The sequence below is a fragment of the Homo sapiens genome, chromosome 3 (assembly GCF_000001405.40).
Source record: "Homo sapiens chromosome 3, GRCh38.p14 Primary Assembly".
In the NCBI taxonomy this organism is placed as follows: domain Eukaryota; kingdom Metazoa; phylum Chordata; class Mammalia; order Primates; family Hominidae; genus Homo; species Homo sapiens.
In genome coordinates, this window is record NC_000003.12 from 121,039,119 (window position 1) to 121,057,746 (window position 18,628).

Sequence of the window (18,628 nt, forward strand, 5' to 3'; positions counted from 1 at the left end):
GGTATAAATCTACCATCTTGCTCTTTGTTTTCTATTTATCTTACTAGTTCTTAGCTCCCCCCAACAATATTCTGCGTTATTTTTTGTTAAACTTTTTAATGATTTCATTTTGTCTCCTTCGTTGGCTAATTAGCTGTAATCTTCTTGCTGATTGCCTTATGGTTTATATTAATAGTGTGCAGCTGTACCTTATATAAATTTACCTTCAATTAATGTTATACTACTTTATGAATGGTATAATAGTAAAGTTTCTATTTCCCCTCCTATTGGCCTTTGTGTTATTGTTAATATCATTTTACTTCTACATACGTTATAAACCACAAATGTACTATTATTATTTTTGCTTTAAACAGTAAATTATTTTTTAAAGATAACTTGTATTTTATATTTACCCATATATTTATCATTTTAAATGTTCTTTTTTCCTTTTTGTATATCCAGATACTATTTGATATCATTTCCCTTTTGCCTGAAGACCCTCTTTCACATTCCTTTTAGTGCAGGTCTGTTCATGATGAATTATTTCAGTTTTATGTGTCTGAAAAGTGTCTTCATTTCAGTTTCATTTGTGAAGAAAACTTAATTTTGGTCATTATTTAAAAAAAATTTTATCTCTTCTCTCCCTCCTCTTTCTCTTTTTTATTACTCAAATTACAACTAATTAGGCCATTTGACATTGACCCACAGTTCAATGGTGTGCTGTTCTTTCTCTACCCCTCAGTGATTTTTTTCTCTGTGTTATATTTTGGGTAGTTTTTATTGACATATTTTCAAGTTCACTAATCCTCAATGAATTTTTTTAAAAAAATCTCTAGATATTCTATTTGAGATAGATAGGTAGATAGATGGATGGATAGATAGATCTATCTTCTGTATATCTACTTAACATGCTCAATCTCTCTACCTTCTTCAACATATGCAGTGTAGTATAATAAATGTTTTACTATCTCTGTCTATTATTTCTATCCTGTTTTATTTCTGGGTCTCTTTCTATTGATATTTCTCCTTGTTACAAGTTATATTTTTTTACTTCTCTGCAGTGAATGCCATACCTCTTGAATTTTACGTTTTTGAGTGCTAAAGGTTTTCGTATTTCTATAATTATCCTTGATCTTTGTTTAGTATGCAGTTAAGCTATGTGGAACAGTTTGATCCTTTTGTAACCTGGTTTTAAGTACTGCTAAGCAGAACCAGAGCAGTCTTTATCTTAGGGAGGAATTTTTCCTCATACTGAGGTAATATTCTCTGAGTACTTTGTATGTGAATTCTGAGGGTTTGCACTTTTGTTGGTGGGAACATGAAAAATTCTTGCCTCAACATAAACTTTATTTTTGGTTTGTTTTCTTGATTTATTCTTCAAGAAGGATGCTTTTTCTTCTTGGTTTGTTCTTTCCTCAGTCTCAGATAGTTTCTTCAAACTTATTCCTTCCTTAGTACTTAGCTAAAGATTTGAGGAAGACCCTTCTGCAAATCTCTAGAGCTCTTTTTGTGTGTCACATTTTCTTCTTTGCTACTCAACCCTATGAACTCTAGTTGTCCCTGGCCTCCCTAGACTGTTAATTCTGTCTCCCCATTCAGTAGGCCTGCTAGATTTTATCTGGGTTCCCCTTCCTTGTGTTGGAGCCTTGAAATTCTCTCTAGGCAGTAAACTGGGGCTATCATAAGCCTCGCCTTATATATTTTCTCTCTTTCAGGGATCATTGTCATTTCCTACCTGATATGCAGTGTCTTAAAATTTGTTACATACATTTTGTACAGATTTTTAATTGTTTTATGTGGTGAATAAATCTGGCCCACATTCCTCATTATGACCGTAAGTGGAGACTCTCATCTAATTTGTATCTTTATGCAAGCAAACAAATGATAAGTAAATATACATATATATCAGATCATTTGGTATAGAATATGTAAGTAAATTTTGTTATATGGTGTTTTCTCATTCTTTTTTTTTTACCTTCATTCCTCCTCCTTCCTTTTTTTTCTCTCTCTCTTACTTATATGTTATGTAGCATATGTAGATGACTTGTTACCATTTATTTTCCAGTTTTCTCGTTTTTTTACCTTATCATGTTTTTCTGTGTAGATGTTTTATACTTTTATTTAGTCAGATATATCAGTCTATTTCTTTATGATCTCTGAGTTTTAAATTATGCTTAGAAGATTTTTTATATGTCAAGATTATCAACATATTTACCTGTGTCTTTTAAGTCTCATCTTATGATTTAATTATATGAAGTTATTGACTCACTTTGAATTTATTGTGGTGAAAATAGTGTTTAATCAATTAAAAAATCTTAAATGAAATGAGGTGTATCTAGATTCCCAATTCTTGTTTAACTTCATGGAAAAAGCTGCCATCTTTCAAATTCCTTATTGTCATTCTTTTTTTCAAATTGTTGGAGTATTAAACATCTGAGGTATACAATTTAATTTACATCTACTAAGAGTAAGATTTTTCAACTATTTATAAAAATAAGGGAAACCAAATAGCAAAACATCTGTTGATCAATAAGTTAGTTTCTTTGCTCATTAATATTGGTGCTAATTAAAATGTTAGAATCCTTGACTTTTATTATATTAGACTCGGGAGACCTGGTGTTGATTGCTATTGCCAACATGAAAGTGGTGCAGCTGTCCTACAGCTCCAATTTTTGATCAATGAGGTAAGGATTATTTTTTGACTACTTAAATCACACACTCCCCCACTACACAGTGAATCAGTTAATGTAATCTTTTAAATACTGTGATTCTAAATGCTTAAATATATATGCATGCAATATTACTTCTGATTATATTTTTCACAAAAGACTGTACTCCTGTATTGGTTAATTTATTAAATTTTAAAGAAAAAAGATTGTATATGCCATATTCTGTTATTGTTACTATATAGCATAATTTAGTTTAATTATTTAAATTAAGAAAAAATCCTAATGTCTTTTGATTGCTTCACTGGCCATTAATTTTTTTTCTATACACTCACTTCCCACCAACTTAAATTTTGTAATTAAGGCCTAACTTCATATTTTATCTTTATCTTCCCTGAAATGATCCTTTTGCTTATATACGTATGGGCCCTTTTATCTGCATATATCTCCAAATACATTTGTTGGAATAGATATGCATTTGTAGTTATTTTTGTGTCCGTAGTTATTATGGAAATTAGCTTTCTACTGTATCTACATTTTTATAAAATTATGGTGATGAGGAACTCTCTAAAAACAAAATATGTATTTATGAAGCTCAGAGAGGTTGCAGATATTCCATTAGTAGAAGGCTACTTTAGGCTTTCTTAAATCAGATTTTTATAGTGGAAATTAGAGTCTTCTAGAGCTTCTTTTATATTAAGTGAGCCAGTCAATGCAAAAATGCTTTAAAAGTTTGTGCCATGCCAAATGCAGGCACTTAGAAGATTGAACTCAGTGTCTCGGAAAAAAATGTTTGGTTATTTTCTCATGGCATGACAATGATCTTTCATTCAGTGTCTGCATATATTTGCATATATCTATATCTGTTTATCTTCCTAAGAACTTACAATTATAAGTGTGGGTAAAATGTCTCATAGAACTTCATATCAGAGGTAACCCAAGGCAAGAAAGATATTGGCAAATGTTCACTTTTCACTTCTCTTGGCTCAAAGTCTTTCTCAGAGGACTATGAGATCCTCTTTATTGACAAACGTAGCATATTTCACCATGTAGGCACACTTGCTATGGGGTACTGAAATGAGAAAGGAAGGTAAAGAAAACATTTGAAAAATATTTCATTGTAATAACTGCTCATTATTATCTAGAATGTCAGGCTTCTCGAGGTCTCAGTGATACTCTGTAGTTCCTTGTTGAGGGATCTCAGCTTTTTGCCTTCTGCATGGATGTATACTTACAGGCATAATTTGTTTCCATGTGATTTGTACTGGGTCTGATCCTTTGAGACTTGTCTTCCAGGTCCTAAGTTTGCCCCTGTGGTACATAACTAAGAATAAATAAAGACAAGCCTTCAACCTCCTTGCCTTGTTCACCTCATTTATCCTGAACTACTCGCCCTATGTACCTCACACAAAGCTGCTGTATCTTTTCCCAAACTTCCCAGTTTCTGACCTGACTGGTTTTTCTATTCTTAGTTTTAAGCATTTTCACAGATCTTTATAGTGCTTTTGGTAGGTTCACTTTGTTTTTATAAATGAACCTAGACACTGTGGTGTTCTGCTTACTTTCATGTGTCTGTCTCTGTTGGTGCTGTTATGCTTAGTGGTACCGTTCACTTCTCTCCGATGATAAGTCACATCTCAGTTTTATCACAGAATTAAGAATACTGGCCGGGCGCGGTGGCTCACGCCTGTAATCCTAGCACTTTGGGAAGTTAAGGTGGGTGGATCACGAGGTCAAGAGATCAAGACCATCCTGGCCAACATGGTGAAACCCCGTCTCTACTAAAATTACAAAAATTAGTTGGACGTGGTTGCACACACCTGTAGTCCCAGCTACTCAGGAGGCTGAGGCAGAAGAATTGCTTGAACTTGGGAGGCAGAGGTTGCAGTGAGCTAAGATCGCACCACTGCACTCCAGCCTGGCAACAGAGCGAGACTCCATCTCAAAAACAAACAAACAAACAAAAAAAGAATACTGAGTTCCTCACTAGAATTATTTAGGTATTACTGTAAGATATTATTGAATATATGCTACTTTAATAACATTGCCTTTGGCATGTTTTATCTTCTGTATAGCATGTAACTATCTCTTGTAGAGAATGTTTTATTGTTGTTACATATCATGTTCTATCCTCACCCCATCTCAGGTGAACTTCCACCTCTCTGAGAAATGAGACCAGTATACTGTATTCAAAAAAATCAAGTGTAACTCATCAAATGCTTCCAAGGAATCCTAATAAATTTCTCGTTTGTTTATAGGAAGCATAAGTACAGTATACAAATAAAACAGGCAAACAAACACAAAAATTATCAAGGCTTATATATAGAATACCTCCTATTTCATTGAAGGAAATTATCTGAGTTCATGTTAAGATGTATATATCAATATATACATCTTTGAACATGTATGTATGTAATTAGATATAAATGTGCAAATCATACAAATTTCTAAATATTTTCTTGGATATGATCTTTGATTATGTTTCTATTTTTATAAAGCCATTCCTCTCTGAGACTAAAATCACAGGTACCAAATATAAAGAGACCTATCATAGGATACATGAGCATTTTTTTGGCTTAGAAATTATTATAGAAGGGCATTTAGATTCCTATCTTCTCTCTTCTAATTCCTAAAGAAGAAATAAATGCTAGCAATTTCAATATCGTTCTTCCTAGCATCTAAATGGGATATCTGTGATTGATACTGTAAACTATGAGAGATTACTTCTAACAAAGTACTTTGGAAAATATAAAAAGCCTTTTAGGTATCTCTGGACAACCAAGGTTCTGAAAGATCACTCTTAGAGAACACATTTAATGCTCTGGATTTAGGATCTGTGAATGGGTAAGCATCGACATTTTCAGCTGGTTAGCTGTCATTATGGTAAAAGTTCTAACATTTTAAAATGATCTGATTTAACCCAGTCAAATAAATAGTTTAAGCATATATACAAAGTCATACAAACAGTTATTATCTGTCCACATGCTTTCTGCCACATTAAGAGGTAGAAAATATCCTATTGTATGCGAAATAGGATTCATTTGTATTTGGTGGTGCTGTATAAAAGGAATCTTAGTATAATTTTATAGTTATACTAAATTCTAGTTGGAGAAATGTTTTCTTTTATTATGGATATTTCCTTTATAATTGATGAAGCTTCTTGGACTATAAGAAGCAAATTAAATTATACCAAATATACTTTTTAGGAAGAATATACGCTTTCCAAATATACAGAAAATTCTTGCAAAGGAGAATTTTTATATGACCTGTATTCAATTTTGTAAGACTGCATTGAATATTTTCTTCTCTGTAAGGCTATATAGTATATGTGTAAACAGTAGAAACAAAAACCATCCCTAAACTATTTTTTCCCAAAGAAAAACCTTTAATGGCCATAACAGTGCTATAATAATTAATCCTCTCTATTGGTAAATAAATATTCCTTAAGCTAGTCTCCCTGACCGTTGAAATGCAGTGGGTCAGTTGCCTCTTCTACTTTCAGCATTCTTACCCTTCCTGATTGAAGTTTATGCACCTATCCTTCCTTATATTTCTGAGATAACAAAAGTAACTCTTCAGGTAGTAAACATTGAGTAAATTAGCTTGTTTGTGATTAAAAAAACCCTAAATTAAGTAAATCACACACTTACTTTATCTTCTTTTTGTTCTAGGGTGCCTTGGTCAGTGCAAGTTCAGATGATACACTTCATTTGTGGAACCTTAGACAAAAAAGGCCAGCCATACTCCATTCTCTTAAATTTAACCGGGAACGGTAAGAACCTATGAATTAAACAATTTCTTAATGTACAACAAAATTATTTCCTGAGCAAGTTTTTGTTAACTTGACAGGCTTTTTTCCTCATAATCTCAACAGCTAGAAATAATTTAATGTTTATGCTTACTTTCATAGTGTTTTCTTTTTTGTAGAAAATGCGTAATTGATATAGATCCAGTCACCTACTAATGCAGTGTTTATTAGCTTAAGGAGCTTTTGGGCTGAGATTATGGGGTTTTCTATGTGTAGACTCATATTATCTTCAAAGAGAGATAATTTGACTTCCTTTCTTCCTATTAATATTTACAGGCCTTTTATTTCTTTCTCTTGCATGATTGCTCTGCCTAGGACTTCCAGTCTATGTTGACTAGGAATGGTGAGAGATGGCATCCTTGTCTTGTTTTGGTTTTCAAGGGGAATGCTTCCAGGTTTTGCCCATTCAGTATGATGTTGGCTGTGAGTTTGTCATAGATGGCTCTTCTTATTTTGAAATATGTTCCTTTAATGTCTAGTTTGTTGAGGGGTTTTAACATGAAGGACATCGAATTGTACCAGAAGACTTTTCTGCATCTATTGAGATAGTCATGTGGTTTTTGTTTTCAGTTCTGTTTATGTAGTAGATCGCATTTATGTATTTGTGATTATTGAACCAACCTTGCATCCTGGGATAAAGCCTGCTTGAGTGTGGTTGATTAGCTTTTTCACGTGCTGCAGGATTCAGTTTGCTAGTATTTTGTTGAGAATTTTTACATCTGTGTTCATCAAGGATATTGGCCTGAAGATTTTTTTGTTGTATTTCTGCCAGGTTTTGGTATCAGGATGAAGCTGGCCTCATAGAATCAGTTGGAGAGGAGTTCCTCCTCCTCAATTTTTTGGAGTAGTTTCAGTTAGAATGGTACAAGCTATTCTTTATGCATCTGGTGGAATTTGGCTGTGAATCATTCTTGTCCTGGGTCCTTTATGGTTGGTAGGCTTTTTATTACTGATTTAATTTTGGAACTCTTTATTGGTCTGTCCAGGGATTCAATTTCTCCCTGGCTCAATCTTGGGAGTTTGTATGTTTCCAGGAATGTATTCATTTATTTTAGGTTTTCTAGTCTATGTGCATAGAGGTGTTCATAGCAGTCTCTGAGGGTTTTTTATATTTCTGTGGGGTTGGTGGTAATGTCTTTTTTGGCATTTATGATTGTTTATTTGGATCTTCTCTCTTTTTCTCTTTATTAGCCTAGCTAGTGGTCTATCATATTTCTTATGTCAAAAAACCAACTCTTGTACTCATTGATCTTTTGTATGGTTTTTTTGCCTCTTAGTTTCCTTCATTTCAGCTCTGATTTTAGTTATTTCTTGTCTTTTGCTAGCTTTGGGTTTGTTTTGTATTGTTTCTCTAGTTCCTCTAGGTGTAATGTTAGGTTGCTAATTTGAGATTTTATGAATTTTTGATGTGGACCTTTAGCACTATAAACTTTCCTCTTAGCACTACTTTAGCTGTGTCCTAGAGATTCTGGTATGTTTTCTTGGTTCTCAGTAGTTCCAGAGAATTTCTTGATGTCTGCCATAATTTCATTGTTTACCCAAAAGTCATTCAGGACCAGGTTGTTTAATTTCCATCCAATTGTATGGTTTTGAGCGATTTTCTTAGTATTGATTTTTATTTTTATTGCATTATGGCCTGAGAGTGTGGTTGGTATGGTTTCATTTTTTTTAGATTTTCTGAGGATTGTTTTATGTCCAATTGTGTGGTTGATTTTAGAGTATGTGCTATGTACAGATAAGAAGATGGTATATTCTGTTCCTTTTGGGTAGGGCATTTTGTAGATGTCTAATAGTTCCATTTGGTGAAGTGTTAAGTTTAGATCCTGAAAATCTTTGTTAATTTTCTGACTGGATGGTCTATCTAAAAACTGTCAGTAGGGTGTTGAAGTCTCCCACTATTATTGTGTGGGAATCTAAGTCTCTTTGTAGGTCTCTAAGAACTCGCTTTATGAATCCGGGTACTCCTGTGTTGGGTGCATATATATTTAGGATAGTTAGGCATTCTTGTTGAATTGAACCCTTTACCATTACGTAATGTCCTTCCTTGTCTTTTTTGATCTTTGTTAGCTTAAAGTATGTTTTGTCTGAAATAACAACCCCTGCTTTTTTCTGACTGCCATTTGCTTGGTAGATTTTCCTCTATCCCTTTACTTTGAGCCTATGGGTGTCATTACATGTGAGATGGGTCTCTTGAAGACAGCATACCATTCAGTCCTGCTTCTTTATACAGCTTGCCACTCTGTGCCTTTTAATTGGAGCATTTAGCCAATTTACATTCAAGTTTAATATTTATGTGTGTGGATTTGATCCTTTCATCATGTTTCTAGCTGGCTATTGTGCATACTTGTTTGTGTGGTTGCTTTATAGGGTCAACAGTTTGTATACTTAAGTGTCTTTTTGTAGTAGCTTATAACAGTCTTTGCTTTCCATATTTAGCACTCCTTTCAGGACCTCTTGTAAGGCAGGTCTGGTGGTCATAAATTCCCTTAGCATTTGCTTATCGGGAAAGAATCTAATTTCTCCTAGGTTTATGAAGCTTAGTTTGGCTGGATATGAAATTCTTGCTTGGAAATTGTTTTATTTAGTAAGGCTGAATATAGACCCCCAATTTCTTCTGGCTTGTAAGGTTTCTATTGAAAGGTCCTCTGTTAGCCTGATGGGGTTTCCTTTGTAGGTGACATGCCCCTTCTCTCCAGTTGCCTTTCACTTTTTCCCTTTTCTTTCAGCCTTGGAGAATCTAATTATGTGTCTTGGCCATGGTCTTTTTGTGTAGTATCTCACGCTGGTTCTCTGCATTTCCTGAATTTGTATTTTGGCCTCTCTAGTGAGGCTGGGGACGTTTTCATGGGTGATATTCTGAAATATATTTTCCAAGTTGCTTGCTCTCTCCTTATCTCTTGCAGGGATACTAATGAATTGGAGATTTGGTCTCTTTACATAATCCTTTATTTTTTGAGTGTTTTGTTCATTTTCTTTCTCTGACTGAGTTAGTTCAGAGAACCAGTCATTGAGCTCTCAGATTCTTTCCTGAACTTGGTCTATTCTTCTGTTAATACTTGCAATTACATTATGAAATTCTTGTAGTGTGTTTTCCACTCTATCAGATCAGTTAGAGTCTTTTTTTTTTTTTTTAAGACAGAGTCTTGCTCTATTGCCCAGGCTGGAGTGCAGTGGCACAATCTTGGCTCACTGCAACCTCCGCCTCCCTGGTTTGAGCGATTATCCTGCCTCAGCCTCCTGAGTAGCTGGGACTACAGGTGCTGGGAGCCCAGGTCAAGAGGCACTGCCCAGTGAAGAGTAGTGGAGGCATGTGGACAAGTCTGGCTGCTTTTCCATAAAGTGGCTGTGTTGTGCTAGAGGTTTGTATCGGTCCCCAACCACTATATGTCCTCTCAATCCCAAGGGCAACAGGAGCAAGGGCTGCAGGGCAGCAAAAATGGTGGCCTGCTTGCTCCTTCTGTGAGCTCTGTCCCAGAAAAGCACAGAGCTGCTACTAGCCTGAGAGCCTAGGTAGGGGGTGGCTAGAGACCCCGGTAGGGAGACACTGCCCAGAGAACCATAGCAGGGTTGGGGACCCATGTAGAAAACAGTCTGCTGCTTTTCTGTAAGGTGGCTGCACTGTGCTAGGGGTTCATGGTAGTCCCTAATCACTGTGTACCCTCCTGATCTTGAGGGCATCAGTGGGGAAGGTTGTAGGGCAACAAACATGGTGGCCTGCCTTTCCCACTGAGAGCTCTGTCCCAGGGAAGTGGAGAGCTGGTAGTGGCCTAAGAGTCCAGTGTGGGGTGGTTGAGGTTCTAGGTCAGGAGGCCTTGCTCAGTGAGAAGTAGCAGGGGTGGGGGCTCCTGTGTAAAACAATCTGGCTACTTTTCCTTAAGGTGGCTGCCTTTTACTGAGTGTCTACGATTGCCCCTAATCACTGAGTACACTCCCCAGCCTGAGGGCAAACAGGAGGGAGGGTTGTGGATGTGGTCTGCCTCTCCCTCTAGAAGCTTGTCCCAGAAAAGCACAGAGCTGCTCCTGATCCGAGAATTCTGGTAGGGCTGTGGTGGTCTCACTAGTGTCCCAGGCCCATGGGTCTTATCCTGCAAGGTGCTGCAGAGACGAGGCCTGTAGCACCTTGCAGGATAAGGTCTACTGGGCCTAGTTACTCTTCAGCCACATGGATTCAGCCCCTTTCCTGGAGACGTGAGGGAGCCTGGCCTCCTCCATTGCTAGAGCTGCATCTGCTGGTGTTGAGGTGCCTGGGGATCCAGCACTCCTGGGAGTCTGTGAGTACCTGAGTGATGGCTCTGCCAAGACTCCACATAACTCTTTGCATGTTTGTCTGGAAGCCCTGGTTGCAGGGATCATGAGAAATCTCCTGATCCTGAGTCCAAGGATGCAAAGGTCCATGACAGAAGTGTGAATCCCTGGGGACTCTCACTCACTCACTGTTCCCTGTGATGTGAGGACTCCTCTGGCTCCATGCCACTTCTGGGTGGGCAATTGTCCTGTCTTGCTCTTCTCTGTTCACTGTGGGTGATGCTGTTTCCCTGATAAATCCCCATGTTTCCACCTGGATGTTCTGGTTGAAGAGCTAGTGTCCATTCACCACTGTTTCTTCTCTCCATGAGAGTGGTGCTTATTACCCACTTCTACTCAGCTATCTCACGCCAAATCTCTAAACTTAGTCTTTTTTTTTAAGAGGAAAGGAATTTATATTTTAGAAATTTGTTGAAACTAGATAGGACTTATTTCTTTAGTCCTAATTCTGGTTATTTTAGTTTAAAATAAGTAATGTAGCAGAAATTTCAAGGATATCAAAAAACTTTAAGATCAGTAAAGAGTTGTTCAGAAGAGAGTGGGGGCCAATATTCAACATTCTTAAAGAAAAGAATTTTCAACCCAGAATTTCATATCCAGCCAAACTAAGCTTCATAATTGAAGGAGAAATAAAATACTTTACAGACAAGCAAATGCTGAGAGATTTTGTCACCACCAGGCCTGCCCTAAAAGAGCTCCTGAAGGAAGCACTAAACATGGAAAGGAACAACCGGTACCAGCCACTGCAAAAATATGCCAAAATGTAAAGACCATCAAGGCTAGGAAGAAACTGCATCAACTAACGAGCAAAATAACCAGCTAACATCATAATGACAGGACCAAATACACACATAACAATATTAACTTTCAATATAAATGGACTAAATGCTCCAATTAAAAGACACAGACTGGCAAATTGGATAAAGAGTCAAGACCTATCAGTGTGCTGTATTCAGGAAACCCATCTCATGTGCAGAGACACACATAGGCTCAAAATAAAGGGATGGAGGAAGATCTACCAAGCAAATGGAAAACAAAAAAAAGCAGGGGTTGCAATCCTAGTCTCTGATAAAACAGACTTTAAACCAACAAAGATCAAAAGAGAAAAAGAAGGCCATTACATAATGGTAAAGGGATCAATTCAACAAGAAGAGCTAACTATCCTAAATATATATGCACCCAATACAGGAGCACCCAGATTCATAAAGGAAGTCCTGAGTGACCTACAAAGAGACTTAGACTCCCACACAATAATAATGGGAGACTTTAACACCCCACTGTCAACATTAGACAGATCAACGAGACAGAAAGTTAACAAGGATACCCAGGAATTGTACTCAGCTCTGCACCAAGCAGACCTAATAGACATCTACAGAACTCTCCACCCCAAATCAACAGAATATACATTTTTTTTCAGCACCACACCACACCTATTCCAAAATTGACCACATAGTTGGAAGTAAAGCTCTCCTCAGCAAATGTAAAAGAACAGAAATTATAACAAACTGTCTCTCAGACAACAGTGCAATCAAACTAGAAGTCAGGATTAAGAAACTCACTCAAAACCGCTCAACTACATGGAAACTGAACAACCTGCTCCTGAATGACTACTGGGTACGTGACGAAAAGAAGACAGAAATAAAGATGTTCTTTGAAACCAACGAAAACAAAGACACAACATACCAGAATCTCTGGGACACATTCAAAGCAGTGTGTAGAGGGAAATTTATAGCACTAAATGCCCACAAGAGAAAGCAGGAAAGATCCAAAATTCACACCCTAACATCAAAATTAATAGAACTAGAGAAGCAAGAGGAAACACATTCAAAAGCTAGCAGAAGGCAAGAAATAACTAAAATCAGAGCAGAACTGAAGGAAATAGAGACACAAAAAAACCCTTCAAAAAATTAATGAAGCCAGGAGCTGGTTTTTCAAAAAGATCAACAAAATTGATAGACCGCTAGCAAGACTAGTAAAGAAGAAAAGAGAGAAGAATCAAATAGATGCAATAAAAAATGATAAAGGGGATATCACCACCGATCCCACAGAAATACCATCAGAGAATATTACAAACACCTCTATGGAAATAAACTAGAAAATCTAGAAGAAATGGATAAATTCCTGGACACATACACCCTCCCAAGACTAAACCAGGGAGACGTTGAATATCTGAATAGACCAATAAGAGGTTCTGAAATTGTGGCAATAATCAATAGCTTACCAACCAAAAACAGTCCAGGACCAGATGGATTCACAACCGAATTCTACCCGAGGTACAAGGAGGAGCTGGTACCATTCCTTCTGAAACTATTCCAATCAATAGAAAAAGAGGGAATCCTCCCTAACTCATTTTATGAGGCCCGCATCATCCTGGCATCCAGGCTTTGATACCAAAGCCTGGCAGAGACATAACCAAAAAAGAGAATTTAAGACCAATATCCCTGATGAACATCGATGCAAAAATCCTCAATAAAATACTGGCAAACAGAATCCAGCAGCACATCAAAAAGCTTATCCACCATGATCAAGTGGGCTTCATCCCTGGGATGGAAGGCTGGTTCAATATACGCAAATCAATAAATGTAATCCAGCATATAAACAGAACCAAAGGCAAAAACCACATGATTATCTCAATAGATGCATAAAAGGCCTTTGACAAAATTCAACAACCCTTCATGCTAAAAACTCTCAACAAATTAGGTATTGATGGGACATATCTCAAAATAATAAGAGCTATCTATGACAAACCCACAGTCAATATCATATTGAATGGGCAAAAACTGGAAGCATTCCCTTTGAAAACTGGCACAAGACAGGGATGCCCTCTCTCACCACTCCTATTCAACATAGTGTTGGAAGTTCTGGCCAGGGCAATCAGGCAGGAGAAGGAAATAAAGGGTATTCAATTAGGAAAAGAGAAAGTCAAATTGTCCCTGTTTGCAGATGACATGATTGTGTATCTAGAAAACCCCATTGTCTCAGCCCAAAATCTCCTTAAGCTGATAAGCAACTTCAGCAAAGTCTCAGGATGCAAAATCAATGTACAAAAATCACAAGCATTCTTATACACAAATAACAGACAAACAGAGAGCCAAATCATGAGTGAACTCCCATTCACAATTGCTTCAAAGAGAATAAAATACCTTGGAATCCACCTTACAGGGACGTGAAGGACCTCTTCAAGGAGAACTACAAACCACTGCTCAAGGAAATAGAGGATACAAACAAATGGAAGAACATTCCATGCTCATGGGTAGGAAGAATCAATATCGTGAAAATGGCCATATTGCCCAAGATAATTTATAGATTCAATGCCATCCCCATCAAACTACCAATGGCTTTCTTCACAGAATTGGAAAAAACTACTTTAAAGTTCATATGGAGCCAAAAAAATCCCCCATTGCCAAGTCAATCCTAAGCCAAAAGAACAAAGTCGGAGGCATCACACTCCCTGATTTCAAACTATACTACAAGGCTACAGTAACCAAAACAGCATGGTACTGGTACCAAAACAGAGATATAGATCAATGGAACAGAACAGAGCCCTCAGAAATAATTCTGCATATCTACAACCATCTGATCTTTGCCAAACCTGACAAAAACAAGAAATGGGGAAAGGATTCCCTATTTAATAAATGGTGCTGGGAAAACTGGCTAGACATGTGTAGAAAGCTGAATTTGGATCCCTTACACCTTATACAAAAATTAATTCAAGATGGATTAAAGACTTAAATGTTAGACCTAAAACCATAAAAACCCTAGAAGAAAACCTAGGCAATACCATTCAGGACATAGGCATGGGCAAGGACTTCATGTCTAAAGCACCAAAAGCAATGACAACAAAAGCCAAAATTGACAAATGGCATCTAATTAAACTAAAGAGCTTCTGCACAGCAAAAGAAACTACCATCAGAGTGAACAGGCAACCTACAAAATGGGAGAAAATTTTCGCAACCTACTCATCTGACAAAGGGCTAATATCCAGAATCTACAATGAACTCAAACAAATTTACAAGAAAAAAAAACAAACAACCCCATCAAAAAGTGGGCAAAGGATATGAACAGACACTTCTCAAAAGAAGACATTTATGCAGCCAAAAGACACATGAAAAAATGCTCATCATCACTGGCCATCAGAGAAATGCAAATCAAAACCACAATGAGATACCATCTCACACCCGTTAGAATGGCAATCATTAAAAAGTCAGGAAACAACAGGTGCTGGAGAGGATGTGGAGAAATAGGAACACTTTTACACGGTTGGTGGGACTGTAATCTAGTTCAACCATTGTGGAAGTCAGTGTGGCGATTCCTCAGGGATCTAGAACTAGAAATACCATTTGACCCAGCCATCCCATTACTGGGTATATACCCAAAGGATTATAAATCATGCTGCTATAAAGACACATGTGCACGAATGTTTATTGTGGCACTATTCACAATAGCAAAGACTTGGAACCAACCCAAATGTCCAACAACGATAGACTGGATGAAGAAAATGTGGCACATATACACCATGGAATACTATGCAGCCATAAAAAGGATGAGTTCATGTCCTTTGTAGGGACATGGATTAAACTGGAAACCATCATCTCAGCAAACTATCACAAGGACAAGAAAGCAAACACCGCATGTTCTCATTCACAGGTGGGAATTGAACAATGAGAACACATGGACACAGGAAGGGGAACATCACACTCCAGGGCCTGTTGTGGGGTGGGGGGAGGGGGGAGGGATAGCATTAGGAGATATACCTAATGGTAAATGACGAGTTAATGGGTGCAGCACACCAACATGGCATATGTATACATATGTAACAAACCTGCACATTGTGCACATGTACCGTAAAACTTAAAGTATAATAATAATAAAATTTTAAAAAGAGTTGTTTTACTGTTTCTTTTTCTTTACCAGTAAAATATTAACCTATTTAGATCACCATATTGATTTTATCTTTCTCTCTGTTTGTAAGATTTTTCTTCTAATACTTTGAATAGATCTGACTGTATACTTTTATGTGGATGGACAGAGTGTTTTTATTTCCCCTCACAATTGGAATGTTGAAGGCAATGTTCTGGCCCCTTTTATGGACTTTTTGGGAGGAAGAATTGATTAGTGGTGATGATTTCCAATAGTGATTTTATTATCTCAACTGAGTTAGATTAATTGGTAGAAACATAAAAGAGCAAGCTGACAGATTTGAGATAAGTTTTAATCACAGGAAGTTTGAAAATGTTTTAATGCTTACATTAAAGATAAATGTGATATTTATCTCTTAAGAAAGATACATACATATTGTCATGTAACATGAGAATATTCATTATGATCATAACTTATTGGAGGAGATAAAATTATCTATCGAAGTATGGTGAATGGGAGGTTCAGGTCCTATAGGAGAATTTAACCAAGCATCTTTTGGGACATTCTCCAAAACATCTGATATTAGCCGTTTAATTCTGTAAATTTTCTAAGTACTCTTATGTTTATGCTAAATGTGTTTCAGTTTATAAATTTATACTATAAATTTTAGCTTATTTTATTAGGGCACCTACAGTCTTTAGTCTTACAATTTTTGAAGGCAGAATCCAGCCTTAGATTGTTAAGTAATAGGCTTTCATTATTATTATTACTATTATTGGAGTATTATTATTGGAGACAGGGTCCTGCTCTGTCTCCCAGGCTGGAGTGCAATGGTGTGATCCTAGCTCACTGCAGCCTCAAACTCCTGGGCTCAAGCAATCCTCCCGCCTCAGCCTCCTTAGTGCTGGGACTATGGGCATGTGCTACCATACCCAGCTATTTTTTTTTTAAAGTAGAGATGGTTTCTTACTATGCTTTTTTTGAGACAGGGTCTCACTCTGTCACCTAAGCTGGAGTACAGTAGCATCAGCTTGGCTCACACAACCTTGAATTCCTGGGCTACAGCAGTCCTCCCACCTTAGCCTCCTGAGGTGTGCACTATGATGCCTGACTAATGTTAATTTTTTTTTTTTTTTTGTAGAAACAGATTCTCTCCATGTTGCCCAGGCTGATTTCAAATTCCTGGGCTCAAGCAATCCTCCCACCTTAGCCTCCCAAAGTGCTGGGATTAGAGGCATGAGCCACTGTGCTTGGCCTGGGGTCTCACTGTGTTGCCTAGGCTAGACTTGAACTACTGGGCTCAAGCTATCCTCCTGCCTTGGCCTTACAAAGTATTAGGATTACAAGTATGAACCTTTGCATCTGGTAAGGCTTATATATTAAAGCCTTTCTGGTGGATGATCCTTGGACTTCTTACAAATACGATTTTAAACCTAAATAGGGAAGAAAAAATGTCTTGATTTTTGTAATGCATGATCTGAGTAATGAATAAAATAAAACATTCATATTTTAGGCATAGCAGTCCTTGCTATCACAATCATAAATTTATGTAATACTGGAGAAAGCATAGAGTTGTTTTATATGGCTTTTGAGTGAAATTCAAATGTAGGCTACGATATACAGACCCTTAAATTATCTGTACTTATTATGTATATTTAATTTTTCTTACTCTAGTGTTCTGCTACTTACTATCAGAGAATTTCTGAAAACTATTAACTAAACTGGAAGGAAGCAATATTTTGTTGAAAACTCCATAATTTATGAAATCTCTGGCAAACTGGATCCATCTGAATTGGCTTTTGCAGACCCAATTTATAACCCACATTTAAAATATTTTATAAAGGCAATTTGAACTGGCTTTGATTCTTTTCAAAGTGTTGCATAACTAATATATTTACTGGGTTTGACATTCAAAAGGTACAACAGTGTATGCAATAAAGGATCTTTCTTCTATTCCTGTCCCCTGGACACTTACTTACTTCCCCTCAGCAGAGCTAAACAGTGTAATTAATTTGTTTTTTCTTTATAGACGTTCATTACATACATATATAAGCAAATATAATATGTAACATAATTTTCTTTCTTATATGTACATAAGCCAAATAGAAAACCATATATTTTTACATATATCATATATAGAGAGAATATCATATTTTTTTGTTAAACAAATTAGCAAGACCTTTAAACAAATTAGCAAGGTCTTTATAATATATTATAAAGAGGGAAAAAAGCGAGACAAAATATACATATATATTTATATATATTTTATTACACACAATATATTGTTAAACAAATTAGCAAGATCTTTAGAATATATTATAAAGAAGGAAGAAAGCAAGACAGAAAACTGCATAACATGCTACATAACAATGAAAATAAATAAACTACAGTTAAATGCAACATGGATGAAACTCATAAATACAGTGCTGAGCAAAAGAAGCCGAAAGAAAACTTCATATATATTATTCCATTTTTGTATGCGTCAAAAAACAGGCAAAATTAATGCTACATGTTAATGTAGCATGTTATACAGTTTTGTGTCTTGCTTTTTTCCCTCTATAGTATATTCTAAAGGATCACTCTTTATATAGACTTTCCCTATTTCTTTGTTTGTTTGTAAATTTTACTGAATCATCAGGAAACTGTTTAAATCTTAAGTGTACACCTTGAAATAACTTTGCCGTTGTGTAACAAACACCTAAATCAAGATACAGAAAATTACTAGATTCATAGAAACTCCCCTATGTTACCTTCCAGTCACTTACCCCCAGGTATCCTAATTTCCAACTCTATAGATTAATTTTGCCTGTTTTTGACACATATAAAAATGGAATAATATATATATAGTTCTTTGCTTTTGGATTCCTTTGCTCAGCACTGTATTTATGAGTTCCATCCATGTGGCATTTAGCTGTAGTTTATTTATTTTCATTATTATGTACTATTCTATTTAATGGATATTCTGCAATTTGATTAACCATTCTATTTTAGTTCTCTTTCTTAAACTTAA

General features: G+C 36.4%; 1 protein-coding gene and 1 non-coding gene across 15 annotated transcripts in view; both read left to right on the forward strand.

Moving 5' to 3' along the window:
• The window catches only part of STXBP5L (syntaxin binding protein 5L), a 516,557-nt gene that overhangs the window by 130,914 nt on the left and 367,015 nt on the right, over positions 1-18,628 (forward strand). For all 14 annotated transcript variants that reach the window (NR_145516.2, XR_924217.3, XR_001740373.2 and 11 more), the window contains exons 4-5: positions 2,582-2,663; positions 6,317-6,417. Coding sequence is in view for 10 of the 14 variants with exons in the window: in NM_014980.3 (NP_055795.1) it covers positions 2,582-2,663; positions 6,317-6,417 (183 nt within the window). In the remaining 4 variants the exon portion in view is untranslated. The remainder of the gene's footprint in view (positions 1-2,581; positions 2,664-6,316; positions 6,418-18,628) is intronic.
• Positions 10,522-10,597, forward strand: MIR5682 (microRNA 5682). The gene has a single exon (NR_049861.1). It is a non-coding gene; the product is annotated as a microRNA 5682 (primary transcript).